Source organism: Homo sapiens, chromosome 16, assembly GCF_000001405.40.
Source record: "Homo sapiens chromosome 16, GRCh38.p14 Primary Assembly".
Taxonomy (NCBI): domain Eukaryota; kingdom Metazoa; phylum Chordata; class Mammalia; order Primates; family Hominidae; genus Homo; species Homo sapiens.
In genome coordinates, this window is record NC_000016.10 from 913863 (window position 1) to 935368 (window position 21506).

Consider the following 21506-nt stretch of genomic DNA (forward strand, 5'->3'; position numbering starts at 1 on the left):
TGGCGAGGCCAGGGCCAGACCTGCAGGCCCCCGACACCCCGACAGGGATTCTGACGCCTCGGTTTATAATGGAAATTTAAGATGAAATACTCGGAAGAGAAAATCTGCAGACAATGGCGAATGCCACATGGCGCCTCTTGGAGTGGCTTCCCAGAGCTCTAGACTTTGGAATCAGTTCTCACCATTGTTGATGGGCCGCGAGGCCTGGGCGGCTGCAGCTACACGCACGGTCTTCTGAGGCCCTACGAGATGCTGAGCCCTGGGGACAGGGACATCCCCACCACTGCAACCTGGGCCACCCCGACCCCTCCTAGGAGGGGAGATAACATCTCCACCACTGCAACCTGGGCAGTCCCTGACCCCTCCTGGGAGGGGAGCAAACGTCTCCACGTTGAAGGGGGACTGCAGGTTGCTTCAGTACAAACCCTTCCAGCACCCTGTGAAGACAGCCCTGACCCAAATGGGGAGAAGGCTGGGCAGGCCAAGACCCGGGGAGGCTCCCCACACCCGACCTTCCTGCTCTGCAGGACACAGACCGGATGCTCACTCGTAGGGTCCACGAGAGAACGCACACCGCTGTGGGCCCTGAGCCCCGTGATCGCTCCAGCTCTCCAAGTGCAAAACCAGACACGCTCCCTCCCTCCCTTCCATGACCATTGGTGACACACTCCCTCCCTCCTTCCCATGACCACTGGTGACACACTCCCTCTTTCCCTCCCTTCCCATGACCACTGGTGACACACTCCCTCCCTCCCCATGACCATTGGTGACACACTCCCTCCCTCCTCATGACCATTGGTGACACACTCCCTCCCTCCCATGACCATTGGTGACACACTCCCTCCCACGACCATTGGTGACACTCTCCCTCCCTCCCCATGACTATTGGTGACACATTCCCTCCCTCCCTCCCTTCCCATGACCACTGGTGACACACTCCCTCCCTCCCTTCCCATGACCATCTCCCTCTCTCCCATGACCATTGGTGACAAAATTTTACTGCCTTGGAATCAGATGGAAACGTGGTTTCTCTGAACTAAATATCCGAGTGCTAATCAGTAATGTTCCGTAGTGACTGACGCAGAGGGCCACACAGCTCTCAGCCCTAAATCGGCGTCTCTAAGGACTCCGGCCTCGCTGCTGCCTGCTCGGCTGGCCCAGGAGGGGCATCCCCCGAGGCCTGAGGGCTTGTAGGGTTTTCACCATCTCGTGCTCGCTTCCTAGATGGCAGGGTCCTGGGCTACTTGTTTTAATACCACTGATTTAAAAACAGCTAAAGAAAAACTCACCCTAGATCCGCCTCTGCAGAGCCAAGGGGCGACCAAGGGATGACTCTGGGGACATTCAGGCTGGGCAGGCCCTGTGTGCATAGGTGTGAGGCATGGGTATGGATGGGTCTGAAACACCAGAGGAGCCAGGCACAGGATGGGGGCAGAGGGCAGGCAGAGACCACAGGGTGGTGCGGAGAGCCCTCTTCATCCTCACAACGGCCGGGGTCCCTCACTCCGCAGCCAAGCTCCTAGGCACCTGCTCCCCAAATAAAACCCAGGCAGAGGTGCGTGCTCACCTTTCTTTTCTATTTATGGGAATCAGAGGTTGAGGAGGGACCCTCTGCCACTGAAGAACCAGAAGATTCTCCACCAAGAGGCGAGATCTGCGCCTGGCGGCCTGGGGCATGTGGGAACATGTGGAGGGGCACCTGGCGGCTGCTCTGGGCTGGGCTGGGCAGCCGGCAGCACACTCATGCACCACCAGCCTTGGCGACCCCAGTCAGAGGATGGAGGGTCCCAGGCCAGCCTAGGGACAGGGTGCAGTGCTGGCCAGGCAGAGTGCTGGGGTGGAGCCTGAGATGGGGTTTTCCGGACGGAAGTCCTGGAGGCCAGCAGCCGTGTGGGACGAGAGACACGCAGGGTGGGGCGACTGCGGTGCCTCAGGCGGGTGAGATGAGCACCATCACCGGGGGCCGGAGCAGGTGAGATGCAGGGGCCGGAGCACGTGGGACGCGGGGGCCGGAGCAGGTGAGACTTGGGGGCCTGGGGCAGGTGAGACTCAGCAGCTGGGGCAGGTGACACCCAGGCGCTGCCTGGCCACCAGTGAGGGGCAGAGGCTCGGAGGGTGCAGAAGGTGTGCAGGGTGGGGGCAGCCCTCAGGACACAGGGAGGGACACGGGGTAGCCTCCGGCAAAGGGAGGGATGAGGGGCCAGTGGGTTGTGGGCTGAGCCGCCTCTGACCAAGGAAGAAACGTGATTTAACACAACGCTTTGGAGGTGCAAGTCATTGCAATGGCCACTGTAGGAGAGAACGCCAGCTGAGGCCTCATTAACTCTGTGGAAACTATTTTAGTTACTTAGGGAGAGTCATTAAATATAGCACAGATGGATCCTTCAAAAATGACAGCCACCATCCACGTTAGAAACAGGAAATCCATTAAGTTCGCTGTTAAAATCGGGGACGAGGGAGCAAAGCGCTTCCATCTTGACTGCCTGTCACTCAGCTCTGCGCCGGGCCGCCCTCTGCCACCCCAGGGGCTTCTAATGGCGGCCCCAGAGAGAGCTGGGAGCTTTTAAAAGTTTCCTTCATTTTTACAGGTTATATTTTAAGCTGAAAAGTTATGAAATAGCACTGCAAATCTTACTTTGCACTATCACGGAACAGGGGCTGTGGGCTACAGACGCCCCTGGGGCTGGATGATGGGGGCTGGGGAGTTCGGCTCTCGCTGCGCGCCAGTGGCGGGGCTGGGCACTGGTAGGCCACACCCACATGGCCCCGGGACACCAGGTGGCCTTGTCTGTGATCCGCCCACATGCAGAGCCCCAGACCCCACTTCTCCATGTCTCTGGCCACGGGGAAAACATCTTTTGTGACCATGTTTGAAAAAGCTTCAGAGGGACAAGTGCAGGCTCTGCCACTGAGGCCTGCGGCCTTGGGATGCCTCGTTGGCTCCCTGGCAGCAAATGAAGGTATGTCAGGAACACCCCTCTCCTGGCAACTAGCCACCTCCCGGGTGTCCCCTCGCAGATCCTCTGAGTGTTGAGCTCCGGGTCTGTTATGGCCATTGCTCTGCACAGCCAGCTCTGGGATCCCCTGAATATTGAGCTCCGGGTCTGTTACGGCTATTTCTCTGCGCAGCGAGCTCTGAGAGCATGAGTACTGCTCAGCGTCGGGGATGGAGACGCCACCCAGGGGCTGCCATGCTGCAAACTCATCTTGAAGGCAGAGCTAAAGTCACGTGTATGGGGCCATCTGCAGCCCAGCACACAGAAGCAATCCTGTGGGGAACCAGGCCCAAAGCCACTCTCATGCCGGTACCATGGGGGACGGGTCACCACCATCTCACCTCCCCCAAGCACATGGGCAACACACAGCCATGGTGTGGCCACGCAGAGCACATGCTGCGCAGGCCCACGTGAAGAAATGCCACACGTGTGCACTGCGGGCGGGCACAGGCCCACGTGAAGAAATGCCACATGTGTGCACTGCGGGTGGGCGCAGGCCCACGTGAAGAAATGCCACACGTGTGCGCTGCGGGCGGGCGCAGGCCCACGTGAAGAAATGCCACACGTGTGCGCTGCGGGCGGGCGCAGGCCCACGTGAAGAAATGCCACACGTGTGCGCTGCGGGCGGGCGCAGGCCCACGTGAAGAAATGCCACACGTGTGCGCTGTGGGCGGGCGCAGGCCCACGTGAAGAAATGCCACACGTGTGTGCTGCGGGCAGGTGCCGTTCTAGGGGCTTGTCCAGGCCCGCTGACCCCTCCGGCTCACTGGAGATGACCAGGCAGGGCTGCCCTCCCCTAAGAGACATGCCTGCCCCCGTACCGGGGCTGTTTGCAGGGGTGCTGGGAGGTCCTGATGTCAGCCCCACCCCAGAGGTGTCCCAGGGGACAGGAGTACTGCTGTGCTCGCCCGGCACCCCCGGCCTCCTCCTGACCGTGGGCTCCTTCCCTCCTCTGGGATTGACCAGGCTGTGTCTGGAGTGGACTGCAGCTCCCTGGCCTGTGGTCACCCAGAGCCAAGCTCTGCACAGGAACCTCCAGAACCGGCCTGAGCTTCACAGCTGCGTCTGCCCGCTGGCCATGTCTCACGTCCTGAGGACGTTTCACAGGAGGGCCGCCCTTCTGCTGCCCGCAAGACATACAGGTGCAGAGCTGGGGACATGGCGTCGGGACGTGGCGCGGGGCGGCTGGCTGGGTTAAACCAGAGATCAGATGGCAAATGGGAGGGCATTTTCTAGTAACCAGACATCTCTGAAAGTGCTGGTTAAGGGCTTTCGTGCTTTAGATAAAATTACGTTAACTGCACGCTCTCAGTTATGAGGAATTTCGTGGACTGTTACATATTTTAAGGCTGTCCGTGGGCGCTGCCGAGAAACAGGAAGTGGCCTCAGTGACCCCTGCGCCCGGCCGCGCGGCTTGTTCGTACTTGGTTGCCGTGACAACCAGACTTCCTAGCCCCAGGTGTCCCTGTGGCTCAGCTCTGTGCAGGTGTCACCAGCTCTTGGGAAACAAATCCGCAGTAATGACCTTAGCTATCTTTATTGGTTTTGGATAAATACGAAAATGCTTCCCGTCCACGGAAATTAGACTTCGCGGCAAAGAGTGTTTAGGATTAATGTGTTCCAAGTATTTCACCTAAGTCAGGCTGGTGGGCACCACACCTGACCATTTCTTTGTCTTTTGTGTCCCGGGCATGAAAAATGGCTGAAGTGTGCCGAGCCTCCAAGGGACTCATGAGACCCCAGAAAAGTGCTGGCCATCGTGGGCTGCGGGGACGTTGTGCCCACGGAGCTGTCCTGGGTCACGGGGTGTGCCTCAAGGGCCCCGGCCCTTCAGGCCTTGAGGCACTCAAAGGCAGCCTGCGTGGCTGAGAAGCACATTTTAAATCACATTTAACTTTGGTTCACTTGGATGTGAATTTAAGTGACCACGCGGGGCCGACGTCCCGGGGCGCACCCCGACTCTCACGCGGGGCCGGCATCCCGGGGCGCACCCCGACTCTCACGTGGGGCCAGTGCCCTGGGGTGCACCCTGACTCTCAGCCAGTCCTGGGGTGGGCGCCTGCTCAGAGACACCTGTGGGATGTGGGTCTCACTCCCGAGTAGCGGTGGGACGAGCTCTCGGCACCTGCTCCTCCCACGGGGCCTCCTGGGCTGGAGCCCGCACAGCACAGTAGCATCCACATCCCTGCTGTGACACCTGTGTGGGCAGTCGGCATGTCGGCGTGGACTCCCAGGCTGCAGAATCAGGTGTTCCCCTCACCACACAGTCTCGGGGGACAGTCTGTTTTCACTCGCGGCTTTTCCAGACCCTCCCCTGACACTCGGCAGTCGGCGTTTCCAGGTGTGCTCAGTGTGGCCAACAGGCACGATCCACCCCACGTGGAGGGTGGTGTGTCCAGGGGCTATGTGAGCTCACACACTCACAGGGAAGGAACGTGGGGGTTGGCACACCTGAGAAGTGGGCGGGAATCACCCCACATGCCCGCGGCAGGGGGCAGGGCAGCCCTGTGGCCTCTGCTTCATCTCTGTCAGGACCTATGGTGGACACACACAGCTCCTGCCCCACCTTCATCACTGCTGAGCCCCCCTGGGAAAGCTCATATCTCCAGCGCTCGCGTGAGGACAGCAGTGCCGGCAGCACCAGGGCACAGGCCCCACAGACAAGGGGCCCGGAGGCCGCTGGGGGCATTCCACCCACAGACCCGCTCTGGACAGTGTGCGCCCTCAGAGGCAGGGAGGGCGTCTGGACCGCAGTCTCATGTGGGTCACTCTTGGGGGCCTCGGGCAGCAGCAACTGAAGGAGGCAGTGATGACCTCAGGCCCACGTCCTGGAGGTCTTGGGGAGAAAGACAGGAAGTGTTTTCCTAGAAACACTGGTGTGCAGAGAGGACTGGGTTTCAGCTACATCATGTGGCAGGGCCGCCCTGGGAGGAGCCTCACGGAGACCCACAGACAGAACGTGGGGGTGAGGGTGAAGCAGCCAGCATCCACAATGGGCTCCCCACCCCACAGCTCCGCCCCGGGACCCCCTTCCTCCGAGGCAGTCAGGCTCCTGCCCCCGGCACCATCCTTCCGGCCTCGGTCAAGACTGCCCGGACACCACCTCCAGGGCCTTGCTGGACAGGACATCCACACTGGCCCCAGCCTGTCGGCCCCCAGCACAACATCTGCACCGGCCCTGGCCCGTCGGCTTAGCCCCCAACACGACATCCACAATGGCCCCAGCCTGTCGGCTCCCAACAGGACATCCACACCAGCCCTGGCCCGTCAGCTGGGCCCCCAACAAGACATTCACACTGGCCCTAGTCCGTCGTCCCCCAACATGACATCCACACTGGCCCTGGCCCGTTGGCTCGGCCCCCGACACGACATCCACACCGGCCCCAGCCCGTCAGCCCCCACAGCACGCACTGCATGTCCACATTCCCCTCTCTACACACCACACCCCAAGCGCTGGCTCCACACGGACGCAGGAAAGCATCAGGACCGGAAAGCACAGGAAAACGTGCTTGCCAGGCAGGCGGGCTGGAGAGCTGAGCAGAGACACAGAGCCTCGGAGGAAGGCCAGGCCCACTCCAGAGCAAGAACTAAAATCTCCAGAGCACAAATGCCCCTGGCTGAGCTCAGCAGCAGAGTGAAGAACGAAAGAAAAGGCAGTGAACACGAAGACATAGCAGCCACAGTGACTCATTCTAGAGATGAGAGGCTTTTAGAAAACACCACACAGAAGCACAGGGCCCAGGAGCTCGTGGAAGGCAGGGAGAGGCCTGATGTCCATGTCCGTGGAGCCACAGGAGAGGAGAAAGAACATGGGGCAACCCCCCCAAATATTGGCAAAAATTATCCAAATTTGGTAAAAAGTAGGCATATCATAGTCAAGAAACTGGCAACGGAAGATAAAATCCCCAAAGCCATCAGAGAAACATAACACGTTACACTGGAACGTCAGGAATGATAGTCGACTTCCCGTCCAAAACGAGGGACAGATGGAGAGAGGGAGCCAGGCGCGGATCCTTCCCCAGGGGCCCCTGCATGCCCAGAGCAAGCATCTGCAGGCATCTCCAGCAGCAAAGGACACCGCTGTTCTCCCCGGGGAGCTTCAGTGTCATCAGAGCCTGAAGGAGGAAGCAACTCGGCACCACGTGGCCCAGAGCAGGCTCGTGAGCTGGCCTCGGTCAGCAGGTCGCCTGGGTCTCTGTCTCAGTGCTCAGCAGGGCGAGGACAGGACAGAACGGGCCCCATCACAGACTGCGCTTAGAAGGAACTCAGTAAAACAAAGACCATTTTCTTCTGGAGGCAACTCAAGGAGGTAAGACTGTGAGTCAAGCGCCTTGGAGGATAAGAAGTCCAGGTAAGTAGAAGGCAGGAGGAAGCTTCCCTAATATCACCTGCAAATCTGCTTCCACTGGGGCATTCTGTTCCCCTTTTCAGACAGCGCAGAGCCCTCCTGCGGTGAACAGTCGCCATAGCCCTTCTTGAGGGGCTGCTGGGTCCAAGACCTCCTGGGTGGGCACACGGACCTGCGCTCCCTGCAGAGACGTGGACAAGGCAGGCCCTGTGGAAAGTTCACCCGCCAGCCAGGCACCGGCACAAAGCCAAACCCCCCGGCGGAGTGTGTGGGGGCAGGGACAAAACGCTCCACGCGTTCTCACAGGGACTCGCCCTTAGAACAAGACAGCTGTATCTCTGTACAAATGCGGGCGGTGACGAGTGGGGATGACGGGACTTTCTGGGGTGACGGCCACTCCCTATACCTTGATGGGGCTCGTGCAAGTTCTTTATGGAGGGAAAGACGCAGTGTGCGGTGAGTTCCAGCTAATGATGTGGGAAGCATTGACACCAGCCCCACCCTGATGTGCGCTGAAGCACCGACGCAGGGACGGGGGACACGGGCGAGGAGACCCACTACGTAACAACGCAGCAAACCCCGTGAACAGAACCTACGGCATCCAGGCGGTCCCCGTGCGGGTTTTACTATACAATTCTTAGGAGAAAAACAAAGGTTAAAAGGTTTGAAATGTAAAAAAGATTGACTACATAGAAAATTTAAAAACAAAACATAAGTAAGAGAATCTACAGAAATAGGCTTAGCCGCTGAGAGGTGTTAGCAAGGTCTGGGCGGAACATTAAAAATCCTGTGAGTGGGCCTGGAAACCAGCGTTCCCCCACAGCTGAGGAGTAAGGGGAGAGAAGCAGCTGTTTATCCCAGATGAGGTCCAGAGAGACGCATTCCAAGCAGCCAACACGGGACAGAGGCGATGAGGGAGGGCGGCCTGGACAGAAAACTTCCAGGCAGATCGGGGCACCCTGTCTCGCAGGCCCAGCCATGCTCCTTGGCAGCAACCACCCAGGGGCTTTCTCACAGGCAGACCAGGGCAGCCTCTGGTCCCTGCACAATCTCGCCTCCGATGCAAGGTGGGAGAAGGCAGCCACCTCCCGAGGGGGGCCACAGAGGGGGTTCTGATCCAGCTGTGAGCTCTCACCCCCAGCCCACAGCGACTGGTAGCCAGGTAGGCAGAATGGCAGGCAGAGCGGCCACTGGGGAACTGATCCAGCAGGACCTGAAGCAGGGAGACAGCACACGGGCGTCCACCTAACGTGGCCAGCCCTTGTGTGGACAAACAGCTGAGAAAAGGCATTACTAACATGGACGTGAAGAAAGTCGCCTCGGTTTTTGGGTGTGATGTGGTGTTGGTGTCGTGTTGTTGCGAAGGCCCTGTCTGAAAGTCGCCTCGGTTTTCTGGTGTGATGTGGTGTTGGTGCGTGTTGTTGCGAAGGCCCTGTGTGAAAGTCGCCTGGGTTTTCGGGTGTGATGTGGTATTGGTGTCGTGTTGTTGCGAAGGCCCTGTGTGAAAGTCGCCTGGGTTTTCGGGTGTGATGTGGTGTTGGCGTCGTGTTGTTGCGAAGGCCCTGTGTGAAAGTCGCCTGGGTTTTCGGGTGTGATGTGGTGTTGGCGTCGTGTTGTTGCGAAGGCCCTGTGTGAAAGTCGCCTCGGTTTTCGGGTGTGATGTGGTGTTGGTGTCGTGTTGTTGCGAAGGCCCTGTGTGAAAGTCGCCGGGGTTTTCGGGTGTGATGTGGTGTTGGTGTCGTGTTGTTGCGAAGGCCCTGTGTGAAGGTCGCCTGGGTTTTCGGGTGTGATGTGGTGTTGGTGTCGTGTTGTTGCGAAGGCCCTGTGTGAAGGTCGCCTGGGTTTTCGGGTGTGATGTGGTGTTGGTGTCGTGTTGTTGCGAAGGCCCTGTGTGAAAGTCGCCTGGGTTTTCGGGTGTGATGTGGTGTTGGCGTCGTGTTGTTGCAAAGGCCTGTCTTCAGGTGTACGAGGAGGCATTTCCAAATGCAGGAATGTGATGCCTGGGATCTGCGTCATGGCAAAACAGCAGGGGCAAGGAGTGTGGGGCGGATGTGGCAGCTGCTAACACTGGCACGGTGCACTGTGGCCTACGAGGGTCCCCAGCTGTCCACAGTTCATTCCTCCCCATTGCGTGGCTTCCTGAACAGCCATGTATTTCCTAACTCTGCCGGCTGAGGGGCTGAGAAGCTGCAGCACCCCAGTAGTAACGGGCACCCCAGCACCCACGTCTTGGTCTCTAAACACCTTCCCCACTAAAGCATCAGGCTTCTCAGGGAAGCCAATAGTCCCGGCTACTCAGGAGGCTGAGGTGGCAGCACAGCTTGAGCCCAGTAGGTTGAGACTAGCCTGAGCAACAGAGCAAGATCCCAGCTCTAAAAAAGAGAAATCCTCCCTAAGAGCACTGCTTTAGAAGGACGTGGAGGAGGGGCTGTGGACTCTGAGCCTTACCCTCAATACAATGAGGTCACCTGCTCCTGGGAACCATCTTAGGATCCCTGGAATGGGCAGAGGGACAAACTCATCAGTGGCCCCCAATCTGGCAGAGTTAACCTGCCCCACAATCTCCAAATCCAGAGGCCTACAAAGCATCTGCTCCAAGCAGTAACAATGAGGTCCTGAGCGGAAATCTTCACAAAGTGGAGAGAAAAAACTGATGGATTGTCCAATGTGTTTGATTCTGTAAAAACAACAGTATTGGAAAGGGTTGACCAGTTGTGCTGGTAAAGTTGGAACAAATGAGTGAGATATGATCAGAGATGAAAAACGAAGCCAATCAAAATAGAAAAGGCAACTATGAACTCCAGGAAAAATGAAGAGTTATTAGAAAAAAAGTTACTATAGTTCACTATTTGGCTCAGCAGTCACAATATTTACAGAGTCAAAATAATGTAAAGACAATCAAACTAATAAAAATTATACTTGTGACACAGCTATACTGATGATGATGAGAAGAACATTAGGGTGTGTGAGGGCAATCCCTGTCGTTCATAAGAGGACATGTATACACAGTGTCTAACCGTGGTATGCGAAGAATAACCCATATAAACCTATCAGTCAGAAAGACAGACAAATACCAGAGTTAAGTGCAGGAAGTGATAAAAGGGTTGTCTGGAGAACAGCATGTGGCTGAGAAGTGGTACGGCAAGGGCTTCTGTTTTTATTATAAGTCGTGTAATACAATTTGACTATTCATGCACATGCCCATTTTTTTTTAATAATTAAAAGAACAATCTTCAGGCCACACTGGCCACAGTGTAATAAAATCAAAGTTGAGAAACAAAAGGCCACCTGTAAAACCCTGAGCATGTGGCATTTTCGAAGCATTTCTCCAGGCTGTCCTTGGTCTAGAGGCATTAGCGCTGAAGGTTATAAAACCACACCATCGGCCACTGTCAGGGGCAGCCGGGGGTCTCAGATGACAGGGTAGGGCAGGGACATACCCAGAAGTGGGTAGCCGCCCTCCAGTTGGCTTTCATTAGCAGAGAAGAAGAGACAGAAAATAGCTGAACCAACTCCAGGCACTGGAAATGATAAACCACTTTCTCCCAGAAAAAGCAAGCAACTACAAGAGGCAAAAACGAATGAGCTAGAGTATATTTTAAAATTCTGATAGATAAAACCAGCTCTTTGAAAAGACCCATAAAGGGGATGATCTATGGCGGTTTAGGCAAGGGAGAGTGAGGAAAAGGAGGAAACAAGTATTGAGGCCCAGGCGGGAGAACGGATGCAGACCTGCTAGGGGGTGGCAAGGCCACCGCACAGACTGTGCCCTCCAGCCGGCAGCGGGGGGTGGAGGGGAGGAGCGGGTGCAGTCAGACCCCCGTCCGCAGAGTGCTGGGTGCGAGTCCCCAAATGCCTGCTGGGCTGAGCTGCCCCCTGCGGAATGGGTGGTGACGAAACCGCCCTCTTCAGCCACACAGGAAGCCCCTTGCTCACTGTCACTGTCACTAATCCACTAGGAATGAAGAGCAGATGCCACCAAACATCCTGCATCCATACAGTTAAAAACAATTAAAAAGCCACGTTGAAGATTCTAGATTAAAGCCACTCAAGTGGATTCAGCACTGGAAGTATGAATCACAGCAACAAAACACTTCTTCAGTAGTTTAGAATTCTGCATAGTAAAGAGAATTTTTTAAAACAGAAATGGCTAACAACGTGATGGGAGAAATTCAAAACCAACAAAATGTTAATGATCGTGTGAATGAGACAAAATGGCCTTTAAAATCTATTTTCTGGGAGGGCGTGGTGGCTCATGCCTGTAATCCCCTAAAGCACTTTGGGAGGTCAAGAGAGGAGGACAGTTTGAGCCTAGGAGTTCAAGACCAGCCTGGACAACATAGCAAGACCCTGTCACTATAAAAAAGAAAATAAAAAAATTAATCGGGTGTGGTGGTTCATGCCTGTGGTCCTAGCTACTTGGGAGGCTGAGGTGGGAGGATCACTTGAGTCTGCGGAGGTCGAGGCTGCAATGAGCCGTGATTGTGCCAGTGCAGTCCAGCTTGGACAAATGAGCAAGGCCCTGTCTCTGAAGAAAAACTATATATATATGCTTTTCTTCTAGGTTCAACTTAGTAATTTTCACCAGATATTAGTAAGTGAAAAAAAGGGAATGAAAGAAATGTATCTAATATGGCCCTGTTTGAGTAAAGCAAACATTTACCCCTAAATCCTGTATGTGCATCTGCATGTGTGTCTGTGTGCATGTGCACGTGTTTGCATATGATCTGCATATGTGTCTGTGTGTGCACGTGTGCACGTTTGCATATGATCTGCATACGTGTCTGTATGCATGCATGCATGTGTGCTTGCATATGGTCTGCATACCTGTGTGCGCATGTGTGCACACGTTTGCATATAATCTGCATAGGTGGGTCTGTATGCCCATGTGTGCACGTTTGCATATGATCTGAATATGTCTGTGTGTGCATGCGTGCACCTGTGTTTGCATATGTGCATACGCGTGTGCACACATTTGCATATGATCTGCATACGTGGGTCTGTGTGCGCGTGTGCACGTTTGCATATGATCTGCATACGTATGTCTGTGTGTGCATGCATGCACCTGTTTGCATATGATCTGCATACGTGTCTGTGTGCATGTATGTGCGTGTTTGCATAAGATCTGCAGGTCTGTGCGCATGTGTGCACGTGCTTGCATATGATCTGCATTGTGTCATGTGTGTAGTTTGCGTATGATCTGCATATGCATCTGTGTATGTCCATGTGTGCTCGTGTGTTTGCACAGGATCTGCATACGTGTGTCTGTGTGTGCGCATGTGCGCACGTGTGTTTGCACGTCTGTGTTTGGGTACAAATCTGAGTTGGCATGAAGATAAGAATGGACGGAACCGGGAGGTTAACACGGGGTGGATGTAAATTAGATGAAAAAAGACTACCCTCAAAACAAGCGCCACCAAAGAAGACTACCCTAAAAACAAGCGCCACCAAAGCTGCGCACGCACATGTGTGAAGAAGGTGGAACCCGGCACCACGGCCCACACCCTAAGGGGTCCCGGCATCCACCCAGAGGCTTCCTCTCCTCCTTCACTGTGCTGGCTGCATGCAGGACCCAAGGGACCCTGCAGGTCACAGCCAGGATGTCAGCTGCTCCCCGGGTCCCCATTTGCCACCTCTCCTCTCTGTGAGTCCTCCCCTTCTAGCCATAGGAGTCCTCCCTGGACGGCACCCCGGGCCTATGCTGGGGTCCCTGTGGCCCAAGAAGACAGCCTGGCAAGTAGTGACAGAGAAGCCACCAGGCGAGAACACCACTCCTGGAGCCAAGAAACACCCCGAGACCCCAGTGGAGAGCACTGGAGGGTCCAGAAGGGCCACTGCACCCAGGCGGAGACTCAGGCCCAGAGGCCTCCAGAGATGGAGCCGAGTCTGAGGGCAGCCTCTCCTTCTCTCATGGCCAACCAAGGGCCGCTCATGGTGAGGAAGTGGCAGAAGCTGCTCAAGAGCCCTTTCTCACCTTGGAAATGGCCCGTGGAGATGGCTCACAGCTAGCCCATGTCACGTGGCGGGCTCTAAAAGTCACCCAAGTGGGCTTCCCTGTCCTTCCTATGAAGAACACGACCAGACACTGAGACCAGAGACACGCAGGACCACAGTCATTCACGCCCCAGGTGACAGGGAAGGGCTCTGCCTCCCGGTTTGAGGGAACCCTCTGGAACCACGCTCTACAGGATGCTTCTCCCCCAGGGAGGGGCCGTGCAATTAAATCAACACAGGAATGCAAGAGAAAGGACCCAGAGAGGAGCTGGCTCGGCCTACCGGTTGCAGCCCGGCAGCTGAGCGAGCTCACGGCAGAGGCCGTGGAGGCTGCCTCTGATTAGGGAATAATTTAATTAAAAGAAACTGCATCCCTGACCCTGGGAGCTGGGAAGGGGAGGGAAGGGCCATCAGCTAAAGCAGGGACAGGAGGGCGGGGACTGGGGCTGCTTGGTGGAGCCTGGTGCAGCCCAGGCGGAGCTCACCCGGCGATCGCTTCCCGCAGGCAGGCTCTGCTCCAGCACTAATAGGGCTTAATAAAAACTTCCAGTTGGGCCAGTGAACCCCTCATTAAGCTGTTTTTAAAGCACGAATTTAAGAGCCGCAAGGGTGAAGGGTCACAGGGAGCATTTAATTCACAATGGCTGGCGGGAGGTGCTGCCGCAATGGAAAACACCCTAGCCCAGTGTCTGGGGCCCCGCACACGCACGGCGACACTTGGCCTGTGCGGGGACAGCCTAGAAAGCAGACCTGAGAGGTGGGGAAGTTTCCCGCTTGGCAAGAGCACAGCAGCAAAACCCAGGAGGGGCCTGGTACGCTTGGAAAGCCTCCGAATGTAGCGACAAATAACCGAATTCCAGCACAACCTGCAACGAAACCTGGGCCGCGGCCCCACACAGGCACCCAACGCTGGGACAGCCTGGCCGTCCTGCCTCCGTGGCTCACACAGGAGCGCCCGTTGCTGCTGAGATTCATTCCTCGCACCCGCTACGTGGATGGGCCCCCCCAGCCTCCACGTGTTTTCAGCATAACCACAGTCCAATCCCAGTGAGACCCAGGCCACCTGTGTGTTGGCGCTGACACCTGGCCCAGCATGGAGGAAGGCCCCAGACCAGCTGGCATTGGCCTTCCAGAAGATGAGGATAAACCAATCATTCATCAGTGGAAGATAAGGATAAACCAACCATTCATCAACCAAGTTTCTTACTCCAAGGACCCCAAATTCCCTCAGGCCCTGGCCTGTCCAACTCTCCCCTGGATGGGACTGTAGTAAGAAACAGAACCCACTTCCTACAAAGGAATATCCTGGGAAGGTGGAGACTTCCAGAACCCTTCCCTGGGTCCTGGGACCCTCACTCCTCTGTATGCCCCCAGCTGACACCCTCACTTCACTGCCCTGAGGGAGCAGGGGGGCAAAGGCCTCCAGCCCCTCCCCACAGGCAGTCACCATCAACAGCCCGGTTCCCTGCACGAGCCCATCCCCACGCCCCCACGAGCCCCTCCCCACATCCCCACGGGCCCACCCCACACCCCCACGGGCCCATCCCCACGCCCCCACGGGCCCATCCCTACACCCCCATGGGGGCCCAGTGGTGCAAGATGGGGGTAGGATCGCCTGGAGGTAGACACCCGTACACACCCAAGTCCATCAGGCTAAAATCACAAAGAAATTACAAAACGATTTTGGGGGCCTAAAACACTCCAAAGGCCTTGGGAACCTGTTGGTCTTCCTCTGGGACTCTATCTGGGCACAAAGACCTGGCAAAGTGGCCCAGGAGCTGAGCCAGAGGAAGCCCTGCCCTGGCGCCTGTGCACTCTGCCCCCTACTCACACAAGGCTGCCCCTGGTTCCAGAACCCCTCACCACGAGTGTCTCCTTCCCCTGGTCACATCTCAGCGGCCAGTGGGGTCACAATGCTGTCCCATCCCGCGCCTGAAAAGCCCAGCCATCCCTCCCAGCTGCCCCAGGCCTGGGAGGGGCCAGAAAGCGTCTCCAGAAGCACTGGGGACCGGCCCTGGTCTCAGTCCCAGAACAACGGCTGTGGCCTTTGCTGTTTCAACCTCACCAAACTCTGCAGACGGGAGCCCCTTCCCAGAGCCCGCTCTCCATACAGAACCAGGTGCTAGGCATGGCGCCCCATGGGGGACGGGGACCACGCTGGAGGACAGGGTCCACACTCAGGGGATGGGGCCAAACTGGGGGTCAGGCCCACACTTGGGGGACGGTGCATTGTCGGGAGGGTGCCGGCAAAGGCGGTCTGGTCCTGGAGGGAAAGCAGGCAGCCCCACGGAGCCCTGCCACCCGCTGCTGCGGGTCCTCTCGGGTTCCCGCATCCTTTCCAATGCGCAAGGGCGGCTGGAAGCTCGAGACACTCCCAGATCCAGGCTCACTGAATATCAAAAGGTGCACTCGCTGCAGGGCGGCAGGAAGCGGCCACATTCGGGGCTGCGGAATTCATTACCGTCAGGCTCCTTCTTTGAAGTGAATGTTACCAAACTCAGCAGCCCTCAAAGCTCAGCTCTATCTAAACTCCAGCAGAAACACAGACGGCAGAATGGGGTTTAACAAATATTGTGGTTTTCCTGCGTCCTGGAAAGCGCGGCCCTGACGAACGCAGCTTCATCCTGCTCAGCAGTCACGTCCGTCTGTGAACGGGGGCGCACGGCCCTGGGACACAGAGCCCAGGACAGCAGTGGTCGTGTACGTGTGAACGGGGGCACAGGGCCCTGGGACACAGAGCCCAGGACAGCAGCAGTCGCCTCTGTCTGAACGGGGGCGCAGGACCCTGGGACACAGAGCCCAGGACAGCAGTGGTCGCGTCCGTGTGAACGGGGGCACAGGGCCCTGGGACAGAGCCCAGGACAGCAGTGGTCACGTCCGTCTGAACGGGGGCGCAGGACCCTGGGACACAGAGCCCAGGACAGCAGTGGTGGCGTCCGTCTGAACGGGGGCGCAGGACCCTGGGACACAGAGCCCAGGACAGCAGCGGTCGTGTTCGTCTGAACAGGGGTGCAGGGCCCTGGGACACAGAGCCCAGGACAGCAGCAGTCGCGTCCGTCTGAACAGGGGCGCAGGACCCTGGGACACAGAGCCCAGGACAGCAGCAGGCGAGCTCGCTGGAGGGGCTCTTACAACAGTAGAGAGATGTGAACGGAGACCCAAAGACCAGCCTGGGCAGCACAGTGGGACCCCATCTCCACAAAAAGTTAAAAATTAGCTGGCCATGACAGTGCGCCTGTAGTCCCAGCTAATCGGGAGGCTGAGGCGGGAGGATCGCCTGAGCCCGGGAGGTCAAGGAGCTGAGATTGCACCACTGCACTCCAGCCTGGGTGACAGAGCAAGACTCTGCCTTGAAAAGAAAAGAAACGTAAACATTCTGTGGATGGTGTGGTCATCCTGAGAAAAAGGAAGACACTAGCGACGGGGGCTGTGCGGACTTCCCGGCCAGCGGCCGTTTCACTAAGAGCAGCCGTGTGTATTTTCAGGCGGGTCCCGCTCACACCCACAGCATTGTGAGAGCATGTCCCGGGGAGCCCACGCCGAGCCACGAGCCCTCAGAAGGCAGGGTTTGCTGCTGGTGAAATGTTAGGATCTTTGACTGGCAGCCTCTGCAGACTGCTGGGCTGAGAATGGTCTGGGGCCGGGCGCAATGGCTCATGCCTGTAATCCCAGCACTTTGGGAGGCTGAGGTGGGCGGGTTACCTGAGGTCAGGAGTTGGAGACCAGGCTGGCCAACACTGTGAAATCCCATCTCTACTAAAAATACAAAAATTAGCCGGGCGTGGTGGCGGGCGCCTGTAATCCCAGCTACTCGGGAGGCTGAGGCAGGAGAATCACTTGAACCCAGGAGGTGGAGCTTGCAGTGAGCCAAGATCGCACCACTGCTCTCCAGCCTGGGCGACAGAGCGAGACTCCATCTCAAAAAAAAAAAAGGTCTGGGACCGCCCAGTGGGGAAGCCACAGCTACATGCGGCCACGGAGCACATGAGGTGCAGCCAACGCAACCAAGGACTGGAGCTTTTTATTTCATTTAGTTTTAATTAATTTTAGAAACACATGTGCCCAGTGGCCGGGCTGGGTGGGGGCCCTGGAAGCCTGGCCCACCTAGAGCCGGCTGGCTGCTGCCTCGGGGCACGCACTGCCTGAGGATGCTGCTTTGCGGGCCGCAGGGTCCCAGTGACCGACCCCGTGCCCCGCCCTGAACCACCTGATCTCCACTAAAGCCCATTGTGCAAAATGAAGACAAGGAATGTCACTGAGATGGACACAGACGCACACGCGGCTCGGATGAGCTGAGGAACGCACGCACAAACTGCATTCTCCCAGGCCGTCCCGAACGAGGCCACAGGAAAGGAGCCTCCCCAGAGGTCTCAGATCAGGAAGCCTGACCTTCCAGTGCCTTTGGTCTAGGTGTTCTGAGGCCCAGCACCCGGAGTCATACCTCAGTAACTGGCAGCTCTATGTTCTCCAAGATCAGGGAAGGGAAGACAGTTCAAAGACGCATGGCTGCTCGGAAGGCAGGGAGAGCACTGCCGAAGCTACTACGAGTCTTCTGAATTTCTGCGCGACAGTCCAAAGTGACGTGCTGAGCCGCTGCAGGGTCAGACACAACATGAAACTCAGGCTCACGAGGGCTCTCAGGCGGAAAACATTAACATTAATGAGTCAACAATTCGCTTCTGAGTCCCTACAATTACCACCTGCTACCGAAGAATCAGTTAGAATGTATGACGCTCACCTGAAAACACCCAGGGAGACACAAACGCAGAAGACTGACTTCCCTGGGCTGGGAGCGCAAGCGCAGCCCCCGACGGCGGCCACACAGGCTCACGTCCCACCCCCCATGCAGACCCCGTTGCTTTTGCTTCAGCAAGTGGTTGGGGACGCGGGAGGCTGGCTCCAGAGTCACCCGGCTCCTCGACTGCCTCTGCCGCTCCAGCACTGCCTCTGGGAGTCCACTGCCCCAGGCACTTCCCCCCCACCCTACTTAGAGTAGAGCCTGTGTTCCCCAGGAGGCCTCACAGGCGGGGGCACGGGGAGGGTGGGCTCCAGGCCCTCTCATCCTCAGCGATGGGTCCTGTGGCCCTGGTGCTGAGACACGGCAGCACCGTGGCCTCGCAGGCCCATCTCTCACAGGGAACACACAAGCCTCAGCCGCTGCCCCCCGAGCCTGCCCCGGCCTGCCCGCTCACAGCCCCCGCGGTGCTGACCCTCTGACCCGCGCACTGGGCTCTTGCCTCACGGACTCGATTTTGCGATCACTGCTCAGAGTCCACAACATCAGACAGCAGGGACTTCTCCCGCTAGACACAGGTGTCAGGACCTAAAGCTTTCCCTCCTCATAAGAACTGGGAAAAAATAATACTGTTGTGATTGTACAATTTTAATTAAAAAAATTTTTTTTGTGGTGATAGGGTCTTGCTATGTTGCCCAGGCTGGTCTGGAATTCCTGGGCTCAAGAGGTCCTGCTTCAGCCCCCAAACTGCTAAGATTATAGGCATAAGCCACTGCACCCACCCTGTTGTAATTTTAAATAAATAAAATTTACTAAGAAAAGATTTGTTTATCTAAATGTTGAAGAATGTAGTTTTCTCTGTGGGCATTTTGATACTGAATGTATCCTGGCGCACTGCGGGGGAGGCCCAGGGACTCAGGTCACCACACACGCTTCCTCACGTCTACTCGCTCCCACACGCGTGAGCACTCTAGGGGAGGCCTGGGGACTCAGGCCGCCGCACACGCTTCCTCACGTCTACTCGCTCCCACACGCGTGAGCACTCTGCTCCCTTGATGCAGCCACAGGACTGGCAGGCAAAAAACCAGCTGGTTCCAACCAGGTTGTGTCAGATTTGCAAACAGAAAAGGAATTCCTGAAATAATTCCTTGCTTCTTGCTTTAAGAAAAACATGGAAACAATGAACAGACGCAAGCACGCAGAGCCGCACGCCCTGACGGTGCACCCCGAGCCAGGTGGCACCCAGCAGCCAGGAAACCCATGAGTGACAGTGGCCAAGGTGGCCTGGTCGTCTGCAATTACAGGAACCTGCCTTTCAAGGTGATTAAAATCAGGAATAAGGTTCCTTTGTATTTACGTTTTAACAGATTCTGATGTTCTTCCTTTCTTTGATTCGATCCAGATTTCCAGCATCACTGGTACTCAATATTGAAGGAATGAAAATACGTGAGGAATAAAAGAATGAAGAAAGTGACCTCTACCGCAAGGACACAGGCCCTGAAGGCTGAGACTGTGAAGGGGGCAGGCAAAGATCCACGCCCAGACAGGCCACCCCTGCTCTCCTGGGAAAGGGGCCGAGAGCCAGAGAGTTCGGGGCAGAGAGAGCCTGAGTGCGAGGCCCAGGCCAGGGCCTTTACCAGCAAAGACCGGCCCCTCTGCCTGCGCCCTGAGGTCATGGAGAAAGGCAGGGGTGGGGGTATGGTCATCCTTCCCAAGGTCCTGGAGTCAGGTCTGCTTACCAAGCCACCGTGTGTCCCATGACATTCTGGAGGCCTCCGGGCCCAATGGAGGTCACATCCACCGTCCTCCCGGCCCTGTCCTGTCCACTGGGTGGCTGCCCTCTTCCCACCCTCCAGTATTGACTGCGTTGTGTGGGATGGGGAAGACCTCCGGTCCCCTCCACCAAACAAAGCACAAGCCAAAGTGCCCACCAGCGTGAGTGCCGTGAGCACCGTGAACCTTCTCTATGCCGAGGGGCACACAGCCTTGAGCGTCCACGGGGGATGGGCCTGTGGGTGCTTTCCCTCTGCCCCAGGGAAGCGGTGGTAATCACACCTGTGAGATGCCGACAATCATGCGTGCGACCATCCGTCTCTAGGTGCCCGGGGCCTGGAAGCCCAGGAGCTCCCACATCCAGGGAGGAGGCACGGATCAGATCACAAGCGCCCATCACTGCCCTCCGTGCATACTGGGAAGGCTGATGGCAGAGGCTAAGGAAGGGGAGAGGCCAGGAAAAGTGCGTGAAGATACATACCAAACACACAACGCTCAACTCTCGCAGAGCTTTCTCTAAATGCATCTCACTTACCGAAAGAGTACCTGAAAAACAAAAGAAGAAACGAGTATTAACACTTTGGCTTGTTTCAACCAAAAACCCACTGTTTCCCCACTGAGTGAAGCCCACCCTGGCACCCAGCACGGTGTGGGGTCAGGGAAGCCCTGCGAGGAGGACCTGCCCGCTGGGCATTAGGGGAACAGGAGCCCCTCCCCACGGCTCACACACAGGCAGGCCCAGAACAGGCAACCAAAACATATTCCAAGATACACCTACTAAGTACCCATAGAAATAAAAAAATATGTATTTTGCGAATGAGTGAATTAATACTTATTTTTTTGCAGCATCAATTAAATGCCACGGCAAATGTCATACTCTGGAATCTGAAAATTTAAGGACATCACATGACCTCGAGCGCAGCTCATTAGAAAAGGGATCTTAAATGAAAGGAATTGGTGGGAAAGGCTGGGCAAGGCCTGTGTCTTTACTATTGAATCCCAACCAAAAGGGGTTTCAGTGATGCTGTGACCCGCTTCTTACCCTCAGACAGCAGAGGCGTGGGCAAGCAGCACGGGTGTCTAGAGGAGGCAGAGCCGCGGGAAAGCAACACCAATGCATCCCACACCTGCCTCAGCCTCTGACCTCTCTAACCCCACCCCACCTCACAGCAAGACCTACCCTTGGGCTCTAGAAGAAACCCCCTCTGCCACCTATGGTCCCGCAAGAGGCGGGCAGGATGCACCAATGCCCGCATGAGGAGCCCTGCCTCAGGTGCTCAGTGCCACACCTGACGTAGAAGGCACAGCATGTGGTTTGTGGACACGAAATGTACGGAACAGGCCGGTCCACAGACACAGGAGGTAGATTGCCAGGTTTATCCTGGGGTTGATCAGAATTTTTTTTTTTTTTTGAGACACGGTCTCATTCTATCACCCAGGTTGGAGTGCAGCGGTGCATAACCTCACTACAACCTCAAGCTCCTGGGCTGAAGCAGTCCTCCCGCCTCAGCCTCCTGAGTTGCTGGGACCACAGGTGTACACCATGATGCCCCACTAATTTTTGTATTTTCTATAGAGGTTTTGCCATGTTGCCCTGGCTGGTCTCAAACTCCTAGACTCAGGCGATCCTCCTGCCTCCACCTCCCTAAGTGCTGGGATG

General features: G+C 56.7%; 1 protein-coding gene and 1 long non-coding RNA gene across 9 annotated transcripts in view, besides 3 other annotated features; one reads left to right on the forward strand and one right to left on the reverse strand.

The window, feature by feature from the left end:
• The window catches only part of LMF1 (lipase maturation factor 1), a 127980-nt gene that overhangs the window by 60229 nt on the left and 46245 nt on the right, over window positions 1-21506 (reverse strand). For 4 of the 7 annotated variants that reach the window (NR_147885.2, NM_001352019.2, NM_001352020.1 and 1 more), the window contains exon 3: window positions 20382-20392. Coding sequence is in view for 4 of the 7 variants with exons in the window: in NM_001352019.2 (NP_001338948.1) it covers window positions 20382-20392 (11 nt within the window). In the remaining 3 variants the exon portion in view is untranslated. Of the gene's footprint in view, window positions 1-17779; window positions 17932-20128; window positions 20284-20327; window positions 20393-21506 lie in introns of all 7 variants that reach the window. The other 3 variants (NM_001352017.2, NM_001352018.2, NM_001352021.2) reach the window with 3 other exon arrangements.
• Window positions 2161-3110: an enhancer, noted in NCBI's record as "H3K27ac-H3K4me1 hESC enhancer chr16:966023-966972 (GRCh37/hg19 assembly coordinates)". NCBI's record gives its function as "activates a minimal SCP1, AML or CMV promoter by ChIP-STARR-seq in naive H9 embryonic stem cells {active_cell/tissue: H9 hESC(naive)}" and the evidence as "EXISTENCE:reporter gene assay evidence [ECO:0000049][PMID:30033119]".
• On the forward strand, window positions 7171-20662 carry LMF1-AS1 (LMF1 antisense RNA 1). Of its 2 annotated transcripts, NR_110945.1 has the most exons (3): window positions 7171-7305; window positions 19239-19393; window positions 19476-20662. It is a non-coding gene; the product is annotated as an LMF1 antisense RNA 1 (long non-coding RNA). The 2 variants fall into 2 exon arrangements; NR_110946.1 differs by lacking the exon at window positions 19239-19393.
• Window positions 14933-15516: an enhancer, noted in NCBI's record as "H3K27ac-H3K4me1 hESC enhancer chr16:978795-979378 (GRCh37/hg19 assembly coordinates)". NCBI's record gives its function as "activates a minimal SCP1, AML or CMV promoter by ChIP-STARR-seq in naive H9 embryonic stem cells {active_cell/tissue: H9 hESC(naive)}" and the evidence as "EXISTENCE:reporter gene assay evidence [ECO:0000049][PMID:30033119]".
• Window positions 15517-16098: an enhancer, noted in NCBI's record as "H3K27ac-H3K4me1 hESC enhancer chr16:979379-979960 (GRCh37/hg19 assembly coordinates)". NCBI's record gives its function as "activates a minimal SCP1, AML or CMV promoter by ChIP-STARR-seq in naive H9 embryonic stem cells {active_cell/tissue: H9 hESC(naive)}" and the evidence as "EXISTENCE:reporter gene assay evidence [ECO:0000049][PMID:30033119]".